Consider the following 13646-nt stretch of genomic DNA (forward strand, 5'->3'; position numbering starts at 1 on the left):
AAAGCAAATAGGAGAAATATCGCTGGATTCTTTTTCTCAGCAAGGAACATCCCTGAGAAAGAGAATGTGTCCTTGAGGGTGGCCTCTAAAATGGCTGCTTTGGGGGCAGCTGTCTTTTATGGTCATAGCTGTGGGATGAAATAAGCCCTGGTCTCCTGTAGCGCTCCCAGGCTTATTAGGACGAGGAAATTCCCGCTTAATAAATTTTGGTCAGACCAGTTGTCTGCTCTCAAACCGTGTCTCTGATAAGATGTTATCAATGACAATGCCTGCCCGAAACTTCATTAGCAATTTTAACTTCGCCCCTGTCCTGTGGTCTCACCCTGCCTCCATTTACCTTGTGATATCTTATTACCTTGTGAAGTATGTGATCTCTGTGACCCACACCCTATTTGTACACTCCCTCCCCTTTTGAAAATCACTAATAAAAACTTGCTGGTTTTGCGGCTTGTGGGGCATCACGGAAGCTGCTGACATGTGATGTTTCCCCCAGAAGCCCAGCTTTAAAATTTCTCTCTTTTGTACTCTGTCCCTTTATTTCTCAGACCAGCCGACACTTGGGGAAAATAGAAAAGAACCTACGTGAAATATCGGGGGTGAATTTCGCCTGATAAAAAATGAAGGAGAAACAGACTTGCCCAGACAAAACAAAAGTTGATGGAGGCTGGGCGCGGTGGCTCACACCTGTATTCCCAGCAGTTTGAGAGGCCGAGGTGGGCGGATCGGATCACAAGGTCAGGAGATTGAGACCATCCTGGCTACTACAGTGAAACCCTGTCTCTACTAAAAATACAAAAAAAAATTAGCTGGGCATGGTGGCAGGCACCTGTAGTCCCAGCTACTCAGGAGGCTGAGGCAGGAGAATGGCATGAACCTGGGAGGCAGAGCTTGCAGTGAGCCAAGATCACGCAACTGCACTCCAGCCTGGGGGACAGAGCAAGACTGTCTCAAAAAAAAAAAAAAAAAAAAGGCTGTGATAAACTATTTTGACATTTAAAATGTGACCATTTCAAAGTAATAAATTTACCATCTTACCTTGTTCACTCTCAAAGCTTGCTTCCTCATCAGACAAAACTAGCCTGAAGTAAAAACAAAAAAAAATGTAGATTTTTTGTTATAATACACTTGTGATTCATATTCCCCAAACAGTTTTATATGGTTAAAAAAATTTTCTACTCAGGAAACATAAAATCATTGTCCACTAGATCCCCTAAAATCTATATCTGGTGAATTTCCTACTTCTTTTATAGATCTATACAGACCTTTCACCCCTTATTCCTTCAATAAACATTTACTGAGTATCTACAAAGCACCAGGCATCATGCTCAGTACTCAATCTTCAAGAACCTTCACCATCAAAACCATAGAGTAAGAAGTTTCATTTTCAAGCCTTGAAAGGTTTTAAGAACACTTGTGAACTCAATCAAGGGAATGAAGAACTCCAGAAAAGATGGAGTACCCTATTTTGAACAATGAAGTGATGTTTGCAAGACACGTTAGCCTAAAATATCCTTAATCAATACTAATTTTGGATATTTATAGCATCTATCTGATATAATAGACAAAAAGTTAAGACAAAGAAATAGGGCCGGGTGTGGTGGCTCACGCCTGTAATCCCAGCACTTTCGGAGGCTGAGACAGGCGGATCACGAGGTCAGGAATTCGAGACCAGCCTGACCAACGTGGTGAAACCCTGTCTCTACCAAAAATACAAAAATTAGCTGGGCATGGTGGCATGTGCCTGTAATCCCAGCTACCCAGGAGGCTGAGGCAGGAGAATCACTTGAACCTGGGAGGTGGAGGTTGCAGTGAGCCGAGATCATGCCACTGCACTCTAGCCTGGGTGACAGGGCAAGACTCCGTCTCAAACAAAAAAAAAAAGAAATTGAACACAGACATAGTCACTACACCTGGGGCATGACCTCACAGTTGCTAGTATTGAAAGTTGTTTTTAATAAATCTTTAAAGATACTTAAAAATCTATACAGTATTTACTTGTAAATACTACACAAATAAACCTACAGAGCAAATAAATATTCATGACCTGAAATGAAATTTTCCCTAATAGTATTATGTTTTTTTAAACAACTTGGATGGAAGAGAAGGTGAAGAGCTTGGCCATCTATTAGTTAACTTGAAAAGTAGCTCTCATAATGCTAAAGATACATGAGAAGATTTTGAATAAAACTCTTATGAAATGTGAGAATGGAAAAATTTTACTAAATTAATATGGTTCATATAACATATGATTTTAAATGTCAATATTGGCCAGGCGTGATGGCTCACACCTGTAATCCCAGCACTTTGGGAGGCTGAAGTGGGCAGATCACTTGAGGTCAGGAGTTCGAGACCAGCCTGGCCAACATAGTGAAACTCCATCTCTACTAAAAAATACAGAAACTAGCTGGGCTTAGTAGTGCATGCCTGTAATCCCAGCTACTCAGGAGGCTGAGGCAGGAGAATCACTTGAACCTGGGAGGGGGAGGTGGCAGTGAGCTGAGATTGTGCCACTGCACTCCAGCCTGGAGAAAAAGAGTGAGACTCTGTCAAAAAAAAAAAAAAAGTCAATATATAAATTCACAAATTTAATTTATAACTAGACATTTTATCAATGTTTATCTTAAAACATACATTCAAGTTAGCAAAAAAAATTGGTTTGGATTTCCTCATAGAGAAGATGGGAAAATGTCTTATACTACATTTGTGTCTTAGTTCATTTTGTGTTGCTATAAGAGAATACCTGAGACTAAGTAATTTATAAAGAAAAGAGGTTCATTTAGTTCTGCAGGTTGGGAAGTTCAAGATCATGGCCTTGGCTTCTGGCAAGGGCTTTAGTGCTGCATCATAACATGGTAGAGAAGGTCAAAGGGGAAGTGGACATGTGCCAAGAGGCAAACTCCAAGGCGCGTTGGGCTTTATAACAAACCACTCTCTCAGGATCACCTTCTACTCAACAGTATATGGTTTATCACTGTTTGGCCCTTATTTCTGAGTTCGTTAATATATTGAATCTGGTTAAAATGAGAATTAAATAGCAGCTTTGAAAGAAAAACAAAGGGACAATAATATAATAAAAGGGAAACGGGGCATGAAGGATGTACACGGCAACAGCCCGTATTTTCAGGTAACCAGTCCCAGTCCTATGTGTGTTATTCTGGAAACAGATTTCTAATAGTTTATTTCACAGCTGCTGGTACCTGTCCCTTTCTTCTCTCTAGCTACCCATTTCAAGAGTCACTAGAGGTACTTGTGGCTCTTAATACAAGGCTCTATCCCAAATGACAGACTCTTAATCACCCCAATCAGTTTGATACTTCTGTCATGTCCTTTGCCTGCTATGTTAAAAAATGGAAAAAATTCGTGTAGGATCTGGATATTAAGGAAAAAATGGAAAAATATATATAAGGTTTCAAAACAAATTGCTAAGATCTGAATTTCTCCTCATCAAAACTCTTGTTGAAATTTGACCCCACCCTCAACGTGGGAGTATTGGGAGGTGGAGACCTAGTAGGAGGTGTTTGGGTCATTGGGGCAGATCTCTCATGAATGGTTTGGTGCCTTTTTCATGGTAATGAGTGAGTTCTCACTCTCATGAGATTGGATTAGTTCTCTCAGGAATGCTTCTGAATGGGTTGTTATACAGCCAGCATGCCCCTTGATTTTGCCTCTTCACACAGGTCTGCTTCCCCTTTGACCTTTTCTGCCATGTTATGAAGCAGCACTAAAGCCCTCACCAGAAACCAGGGCCACGCTCTTGAACTTCCCAGCCAGCAGAACCATGAGCTAAACTTTTTTACTTGATAAATTACCCTGTCTCAGGTATCCTGTTATAGCAACACAAAACAGACTATGATACAAATGTTTAGTGTTGATTGGAAAAATGACATAGGAATAAATATTCAGTAAGAGAAGAAACAATTCTTTCCACATATATCATATGATGGTATCCAGGACTTCTATAACATGACACAGATGACTTATGCCTGCTTACTTATTGAGCTGTTCAGTAAGAAAACCGCCTATTTGTTCATCTTTATTGTCTTCACTAATCTTGCTTGGCGTGTCTTGTAGTTGCTAAAGATAAGAAAGTCAATGTTAAGTATATAGAATGAATCTGTTTCTTCTTCTCTGCAAAGAAAATGAGAATATAAATTCTAAAGAACCATATGAAATAGGAAGTTCTGAACTAGAGAGTGAAAGATATAGGACATGTATGCTAATGTAATCTGAACTGAGCTACTGAGCTTCATACACTTGTTTCTCCTGGCTGCCTGTGCAAACTGCACATATTGTGATGTGGGGTAGCCACAGATTAGTTTAACAACTTAGTAATAGGCCTAAAGAAGACTTAAACTGTGTTTCTAGTCTGTATCACAATGCTCTAAATACAGCTAAAGATTTTCAATTTTGATTCTGAGCAGAAATTGGATATAAAATTTGCCTAAATACACAGTATGCCATACAGCGAAGCATTTATTATATTAAAAGTAAAAACAAAACAAAAAACAACCTAATTCAAGGGTATCTTTGGTGCTGGAAGATGCCATGTCAGAACATGACTTTAACATCCATCCTAAACCCCAGAAATATGCAAGATATGAGCCTATCACAAATACCACATCCAGCTTGAACAAACCAGCCAGCAACACTTTCAAGCTTTACTGAAAATATGGCAGAATGAATGGTAAGTTAAAAGGTACTGAAACCTGGCATAATGTTGGTTATCATGAACCATATCCATGACATCAGTGTAAAAGTAAAACAAAGTTTTTCTCTAACTTCTAATACTGTCAGGTAGGTAATCTGGTTATTTTTAAGAGCACATGACCACTTTCCATCACTTGTTCCTCTTAAGATCTTCCTTTGCATAGCCTTTTCTTATCTCCTTTAATTTTAAATTAAATTAAATTTAATTTTTTTTTTACTTTTAAATTTTTTTCATTTAAATTTTCTTTTTACTTTCTCCCTCTTTTTCCCTGTCCTACTAGTATCTTGGGCCTGCCAGCAGTATTCCTATGTTATTTCAGTGTTGCTGGCAACATTTGCAATTAGGAAAGTGCTGACCCTTGGCTGAAGGAAAATGTTTCTCAATGTTTTGTAAATTTTAAATTAACCTTGGTTAAAAAAAAAAAAAGTTTCAATGTTATCACCCAAATGAAGAGTAATACATCTAAACAAGAGAACATGGAACACAATGTACCTTGAGAGCTACAAAATCATACGGATGAAAGCCAATACAGGCTTCATGAATTTGGGACATCATTCGAGCTGTTTTCTTCCAGAATCCAAGCAGTGTTCTCTGCAAAAAAAGAAAAGGTGACACTACAGTTCTGCTTCCCCTCCATGATTTTTTAAGTGCTATATTTCCTTACTAGTTTAGTAGATGAACAGTTGCCAAAAAATAAGAAGCAGGAACTAAATTCAATTTTCCAAGTTTAGGGAACCATAAAGCACTGCAAATAGTACTTGTGCAAAAGAATCGGCATCTGTGTCTGCACGTGTGGGAGTTAACTGTATAAATAGCACAGGAATGCACACTGGAGCCACCCAGAGAGTGACTGCAGCTAAGAGAATGAAAACTTAGGGATCAGAACATCTGAGATATCAAAAAGAGAAATGTTAAAAGCACAAAAATACCAATCTCTGTTAAAGGAGGAACATATGTGTAATCTTTATGTTGATGGGAATATATAAAACTTTTTAATTGGAGAAAAATTACATTTACCACTAAATCTGGCCTTTCATCTAGAGTTCAAGAAAGATTTGCCAAAAAATGTGTTCTCAAGCTAACTCAAGTAATTGGACATTTTTCTTGCTGCTTCAAGGTTCCTGATTAAAGTGAGGAGGATGAATGGAGAGAATAAAGGAAAACTGAACTCATAGCTATTGTGTTTCAGGCAAGATGCTAAACAGATATCACACACTGTTATTTTCAAGTGCATCCTTTCTCCATTTCTGAATCCCACAGTACTGAACTGAAATAGGCAGACTCCCTAAAAGCAGGAGTGAATGTCCATTTCCTGTAGTTTATTACTCTTTTCTTATGTAAGTACAGTTTATTCAATTTTTTCCATTGAAAAATATATGTAAAAATCAATAGCTGCTACTTATTAATATCTAACTTATTCATTGTGTGTTACTTATATGTGATTTGTGGTACTATAAGCACAAGTGAGACTTCTGAGGTTAAAGTGGTATGGGATGGCAACTTGACAGAATGAAAAGAACATATAACTTAGAAATAGAAAACTTTGGTTTCTAAGCCAACATTGCCGTTCACTTTAATTCTCATAGGTGTCACTTTCCTCATCCATAAAATGACAGAAAAGGTTTTAAACTTTTGGGGGCACAGAATCTTTGCTTCAGATGAAATTGTATGTAGAACTTCAAACCCAGAAGTGGAACAGCTCTGGTTAAACCAGGGCAAATGGGCCTTAAATTTTGCCTCTTCAACATTCCCCTCTTCAACCTCAAATGGTCCCTAAGTCTCTCTCTCTCCTTTGACACCAAAGAGAAGAGCTACAGAAGTAAACAGTCTCTAAGGTCTTTTTCAGAACTTTTTGACTCTCTGACTTTCATAACCTCAATAAAGCAAAGTCAAAGGAATCTAATCATACATAAATTTTTACACCCTTTAGACAACTTTTAAAAAGAAATCTCACCACTCATCTTTACTGCAAGGATATGCTGACCATGGAGGTGGGTACCTGGTAGGTAGTGAGCGAATGAGATAGCATATTGCAGCGACTAGCTCCAAGTAAATCCACTTTCTGACAAACATCCATCTTTAACTTGTCAAAAGAAGCTTTGCTATTTCTCACTTGCATCTGTACCTGCAATAAAAATGCTAATTTTTATTACAGATATATACTATAAATATAGTATGTTATTACAGACATAAATATAGTATACAGGTTCATAATAAATATTTTCAGAAATAAATTATAATAAAGACTAATTTCTTTTCCCTGTATCATTAATATTTCATGAGTAATGATGAAGATTTTGCTACTGTTAGTAATTGTAGGAGATTCTTTCCAGAAGATATCTTTATGCTGAGAAAGTATGAGATAATAGATGGAAAGCAAATAGTTTTTTAAAAAGTATTCCAAATAAAAAGAAACATCTAAAACTATTCATGGATAGCACTTAGCTAAGAGCAGAAGAATAAATGGAAAGGGGACCTCGTTAAAGCACTGAGAAACATTAATAATATTTCTGAATCATGCAGATATTTATAAATTCCAGTAGAGGCCTATTATATTTCTTGAATAAATGGTGAGTCATGCCATCAGGTAGTGTGAATACTCAACCTTTTAATATATTAATTTATTCAACAAATATAAGGCACCTATTATATGCAAGGCATTGTTCTAGGCACTGAGATATTGTGGTGAACAAAACAATGTTCTTCCCCACCATCCTTGGGTAGGGAGGCACAGGAAAAAAAAGAAGTAAATAAATATATAGTTGCAAAGGTAGCAAATAAGTAAACAGAAATGAGTGAAGGATGACATGGAAGTCCTTGGTGAGATCATGCATGATGTTTGAACTGGGACAGAAAGATGATGAGCAGGCTATGCTAAGACCCTGGGGAGAGCATTCCAGAACTAGGGACAAGCAAGGACAAAGGTCCTGAGAGTGGGAGGGGGTGAAGACCTTATCATGTTAGAACAACAAGAAGCAAGGAGGTAGAGCACGTTCTTCCTGGAGTGTAGGAAGCAAGTACAACGTGGTTGTGGAGGGACCAGGGATCAGGCCATGCAGGGTTTTTAGGGTCCAGATAGGGACTTGGATTGTATTTGATGTGGTTTGGCTGTTTCCCTGCCCAAATCTCATCTTGAATTCCCACATGTTATGGGAGGGACCCAGTGAGAGATAACTGAATCATGGGGGCAGGTCTTTCCCATGCTGTTCTTGTGATAGTGAATAAGTCTCACGAGATCTGATGGTTTTAAAATGGAGAGTTTCCCTACACAAGCTCTTTTTGCCTGCCACCATCCATGTAAGATATGACTTGTTCCTCCTTGCCTTCTATGATGATTGTGAGGCCTCCCCAGCCACGTGGAACTGTAAGTCTATTAAATCTCTTTATCTTCCCAGTCTTGGGTATGTCTTTATCAGCAGCATGAAAATAGACTAATACATTATTCTTCTTTTAAAAATTGAGGTGAAAGTTGCATAACATACAATTAGCAATTTTAAAGTGTTCAATTAAGTGGCATTTAGTGCATTCGCAATGTTGTTCAATCACTCCCTTGGACTGTATTCTCACTGTCAAAGATTGTAAAAGGGATGGAATACGAGGTAGTTGTGGCCTGAGGCCATGTATTCACCTACTTCATAGGGCTGTTGTGTGTAATCAATGAGGCAAACCACTTAATAGCTGGCCCAGAGTCAGGCTCCATCAGTATTAAATATTATGATTTATATTATGGGTTCTCTATTTATGAAATGAATGATAAAATGAATTTTGTTATTTATGTATAGTATAATTAGGGGCTATAATTTATAATAAGGAGTTTATTTAGCAAAAACATATGTTCATACATAGTTACTTAGGAAGTCTGTGGCCAAACTTTGTATTGTGACAGAATAAAAATTTTGATAACCTTCATATTTCCTTATAATTAACAATCATTTTACATGAATTTTTACTTAAATTCCTTTTGTCCCTCTGTAATAAACTATTTTCTTCCTGCAAACGAATCTCAAAAGTCCAAGGAAGCAACATTTAAGAAGTAATTTAGATCTATCATGAGACAGATTAAAAAATTAATAAAAAAGGTAGATGGTGTGAAGATGCCACTCCAGGAGTAAAAATAAAAGTGTGACAAACTTTTGTACTTCAACTACAGTCTCCAAGCAACCAAGAATGTATAATGAAACATATATTTACCAAAAAACATCTGAAATTTTATTATCTTAATTATTCTGTGGCAGTTTCATATTTCATACACCAAGAAAAGGAAAGGGATACGTTTTCATACTTTTCTAAACTTTTCCATTTGCTTTAAGGTGTCTGGGTCCAGCTCTTGGGATACATCTTTCATCCACAGTAGAGCTCCTCTGTATTCTGTGCGTGCCTGCTCCATCCGATTAATTGTCATCAAGGTATCAGATACTGCCCTTTGACTGAATGTTGCTACTTCTTGCTTCAGACGAGACAGAGGAGTACACAGGGCCAATCTAATGGCAGAGAGGTAAAAATCAGAGGGTTGAACACATCATAAGTAAAACAAAACAAAGGTTTAAACCAATGAAAAAGCATATTTGCTAACAAGATGAATCTACAAGTAAAAAATTATTCAGTTCCTAAGGAGATTTTGAAAGCAAATAAGGATCATATAGCCAACTCTGAATTATCAATAAAGATGTGTTGGCCGGGCGCGGTGGCTGACGCTTGTAATCCTAGCACTTTGGGAGGCCAAGGTGGGCAGATCGCCTGAGGTCAGGAGTTTGAGACCAGCCTGGCCAACACGGCGAAACCCTGTCTCTACTAAAAATGCAAAAAATTAGCCAGGTGTGATGGTGGGTGCCTGTAATCCCAGCTACTCGGGAGGCTGAGGCAGGAGAATCGCTTGAACCCGGGAGGTGGAGGTTGCAGCAAGCCGAGATGGCGCCACTGCACTCCAGCCTGGGCGACAGAGCGAAACTCCATCTCAAAAAAAAAAAAAAAGTGTCTACACCTCCTCCCTTGTTACTTTAGGAAATATGTCATTTTTGCAATACTTTGGAAGTTATTCCATGTATAAATAACCTGCCAAGTAAATCTGCCATTTAGAAAACAGTTCTGAGGGGAACAGAGAACCTGCATTCATAAAGCATAATCCAATTAACAGAAAGCCTTTCATTTGACAAGTTCAGGGAAAACCTGGGTTTTGCTAGCAGAACTAATGAGTATGGAGTTCTTAGCAGCTGAGGATGAGGACAAGATAACAAGTATTTAAGAAACACAGATTAAATCCAATTCCTCCTTTTTGCTTAGTGACCATTGGAGGGCCCTGTACTTAGTACCTCCACGTCACTTCCTTCAAGATAGACTTTTGCACTGATGTGATGTTTCAGAATAAAGCTATATAAACTGGACACCATCATTATAGGTCTGATAAGGACTGTTTTATTCTTCTTAAATGCAAAAGATTTGGGCTAGGTTTAGTAATTACAGGAGATTCTTTGCAGTAGGTATCATTATATTAGAAACTGAAATAATAACTGGAAAGTATGTAATTAAGAAGAAAAAATTTCTTCTACTTAAAAAGTACCACTATATTTATAGTATAGTATCAAAAAGCGAAATTGGAAATACACATTTTTAAGATGTTAGTCATTCTGTGACTGTTACATTAAACCAGTTGAGAAATATAACTGATACTTGTCTGATTTTAGGGGAAATAAAAGAAATATAAATACAGGCCTAAAGGTTATTTCTAGAAATTAAGCAACCAAGAACATCAATCATTAAATAATTATTTTGAATACAAAATTAGTAATTAAGAATTAGGTGTCACAACATAACTGTGATATATTTCTCTTTAACCCTTTATTAGAATGAACAGTGACCTTTACAAATATGCAAATTTAAGTACACATGTCAAAACTGTCAGATTGACTACAGATTCAAGATAATGAACAACCATGGTAAACCTTTGCTTGGCTGAAGAACAAAGTGCCTTGCCAGTGGCATCCATCATTTTGCCAGCTTGAGTTGCATCCCGTTCTGCTTGAAATTTTAAAAAGAGCCCTAGCTCATTTTCTTCCTCTGATATAACTAGGAAAAAAATTACAGTGTAGTTAATTGTTTCCTTTCATCATTTGTTTAAAACATACACACAACTAAAAATCTCACAGCAATAACTCTCTATACAAGATTTACTTAGGGGAAGAAGAAGAGAGACTTATTTTTTAAATGCAATTCCTGGGCTCCATTTCCAGAGACTCTACTTTCCATAGGTCTAGGGAATCTGGCTTCTTATCAGCACTCCAGATGGTTTCGACACAGTGAATCCATGGACCTCGCTTTGAGAAGGACTGATTTTTAGTGACAAAAATCCCTCAAAACTATAAAATAAAGCCATAAATGATGCATTTTCAAATGTGCAGAGATGTATTTTAGGATCATTGCCTCTTACAAAGTATTTGTTCCCTATTTAAACTTGTTAATTTATTCTTGACTCCCTCCTGGCTTCAGTTTCCTGTGCTCGGTATCGCAGACTCACAGATGTCCACAGTTCTGCTCCAGCAACCCTAAAAACTGTCATCTAGTGCACTGCTATTCAAAGTGTAGGCCATGGACCAGTATTGGTCCAGAATCCTCTGTTACCAAGCTGTGACAAGCGAAGAAGTAAGGAAACTGAGAATAACTGTGTAGAGACTTTGAGCATTTTATATTTGTCAAATCTAATAAAGTGAGCTTATAATACATTTTTCACGTATTTTATTTCATTTTTCTAAAAGTTATTTTTTTAAAAGATGGGATCTTGCTTTGACATCCAGCCTGGAGTGCAGTGGCTTGATCATAGCTCACTGCAACCTCGAATTCCTGGGCTCAAGTGATCCTCCTGCCTCAGCCTCCTGAGTAGCTCAGACTACAGGCATGAGCCACAGTGGTTGGCTAATTTTTTAAAAATTATTTTAGAGGCAGGGTCTCACTATGTTGACCACGCTGGTCTCAAACTCCTAGCCTCAAGCCATCTTCCCACCTTAGTTTCCCAAAGCACTGGAATTACAGGCAGGCACGAGTCACAGTGCTCAGCTAAAAATTCATTTTTATTGAATTTTACAAAGGTATCAGTTTACAACAGATTGAAAGCAAACCATGAAACAAAAAAAGGTCCTTCACCACAATTTAAGAAACACTGATCTAGTGTAAGCTGATCCTGTAACCACAATAAGACTAATAAGGGGGAAAGCCCACAGTGCTCCAATTATAAGCTTAAAGTAAATAAACAACAACAAATGTCATGCCTAATTTCATCCCACTTCACTGATAGAAAAATCAAAGTTAAAACTGAAAGGGAAGTGTCTGGCTACTTGTGGGGCAGCAACAGAACTCAGGCCTCCTCATGCTGCCTCCCCACTACCCCTGTCCCCGCTGCCATGCCTACAAGGGTGACCCAAGGAGAGCACAATGGTGTAATGAGGAAGGTGTCTACACAGTCTGTAGTCTCATCTCTAATAAAACCATGAACAACTGACCTGATCCAGAGCAGATGGGGTTTGGGGAGTCATGCTAATTTAATGCTGATTACTTGAGAGATGTACAGTTTACACATTATTTGAATCAGAACTTCATAAAATATACCTCAATTAAAACTACTAGAAAATATTCATTTGGGTATGGTGGTTCAGAAAGCACTTTGAGTACTTGGAATACTTCATTATCAAGTATCAACTGAACATAAATGATCACTGAAGCTTACCTTTATCATTGCAGAAAGAGCAGTCAATGAGGCTGAGTCTGTGCTGCTTCTATGTTGAGACCTGCCTGCCAAAATCTACAGAGACCCCTCCCTGACCTGTTCTCCCCTGAGTCAAGAGAGTCCCATAAAGTTATGGTGCTGGACTAACCTACTGCATTTGTCTGATGTTACTCCCAACACATGTATTAATACAATCGTCTTCAAGAAATCACATATTTATACACAATCTTGAAGTGAAAATACACAATTAAATCTATATGTGTTTCCCTTCCTTATTCTGAAATGCTCCACCAGAGTGCTAAAAGATCTAGTGATTTCAGGGTATATAAACTTGCTGATTTTCTTCACATTTTCATTTCTGTCACAGGACTCACTTGGTCCAGTGATTGTGATATATTTTACCAAGCAGTAAAAGGCCATAAGGTCGTTAGTAATCTGACCCCAAATTTCCTTTGTTCCTTTATCCTCCCATTAGTTTCAATGACAGACTCTTCTGCCTATGCAGGCTGTTCTCATTCTTTAAGCTCTTTAAACTCCAAGTCTCTTCTCTACATGTTCAACTTCTATAAATCCTTTAAGTTTTACCTCAATTCCTGTCTATGGAATTGCCTTTGCCAATTACTCTAATCCACAGTTATTCTTCATTCCTAGGAATTCAGAGTTATGTCTGTATCATTATTCTGAACTCAATTACATACTACTTACATTGTCTCTCTTTTTGTGCAAAAAGTTGTTTCTCCAACTACTTCCTTGGGAAAAGCACATGGCAGGTAGTCAAAAAAATACTTGAATAATCATGCTTTATTGGATTTATTTCTTTAATGGGACAATGTATAAGCTTTGATTATAAAGCAATGAGATTAATTTACATAGCTACATGAGAAAAATTATTGATTCATTGAAATCAAATATTTATCGAGTACTGACTACATGCTAGACATTGTTTCTAGACTGGGGACACAGAAATAAAACAGAAAAATTCTGTCCTGGCGAGGTGCAGTGGCTCACACCTGTAATCCCAACACTTTGGGAGGCTGAGGTGGGTGGATCACGAGGATAGGAGTTCAAGACCAACCTGGCCAAGATGGTGAAACCCCGTCTCTACTAAAAATACAAAAATTGGCCAGGCATGGTGGCAGGTGCCTGTAATCCCAGCTACTTGGGAGGCTGAGGCAGAGAATTGCTTGAACCTGGGAGGCGGAGGTTGCAGTGAGCCAAGATCAC

General features: G+C 37.9%; 1 protein-coding gene across 4 annotated transcripts in view; it reads right to left on the reverse strand.

Annotated features, from left to right (window-relative positions):
* The window catches only part of ICA1L (islet cell autoantigen 1 like), a 98591-nt gene that overhangs the window by 37535 nt on the left and 47410 nt on the right, over positions 1 to 13646 (reverse strand). For 3 of the 4 annotated variants that reach the window (NM_001288622.3, NM_138468.7, NM_001288623.2), the window contains 6 exons: positions 10648 to 10771; positions 8991 to 9189; positions 6708 to 6833; positions 5201 to 5299; positions 3992 to 4074; positions 1036 to 1079 (listed from right to left, as the gene is read on the reverse strand). In NM_001288622.3, the coding sequence (NP_001275551.1) occupies positions 1036 to 1079; positions 3992 to 4074; positions 5201 to 5299; positions 6708 to 6833; positions 8991 to 9189; positions 10648 to 10771 (675 nt within the window). Of the gene's footprint in view, positions 1 to 1035; positions 1080 to 3991; positions 4075 to 5200; positions 5300 to 6707; positions 6834 to 8894; positions 9190 to 10647; positions 10772 to 13646 lie in introns of those variants that run through there. The other variant, NM_001288624.2, reaches the window with a different exon arrangement.

This window comes from Homo sapiens, chromosome 2 (assembly GCF_000001405.40).
Source record: "Homo sapiens chromosome 2, GRCh38.p14 Primary Assembly".
Classification (NCBI taxonomy): Eukaryota; Metazoa; Chordata; class Mammalia; order Primates; family Hominidae; genus Homo; species Homo sapiens.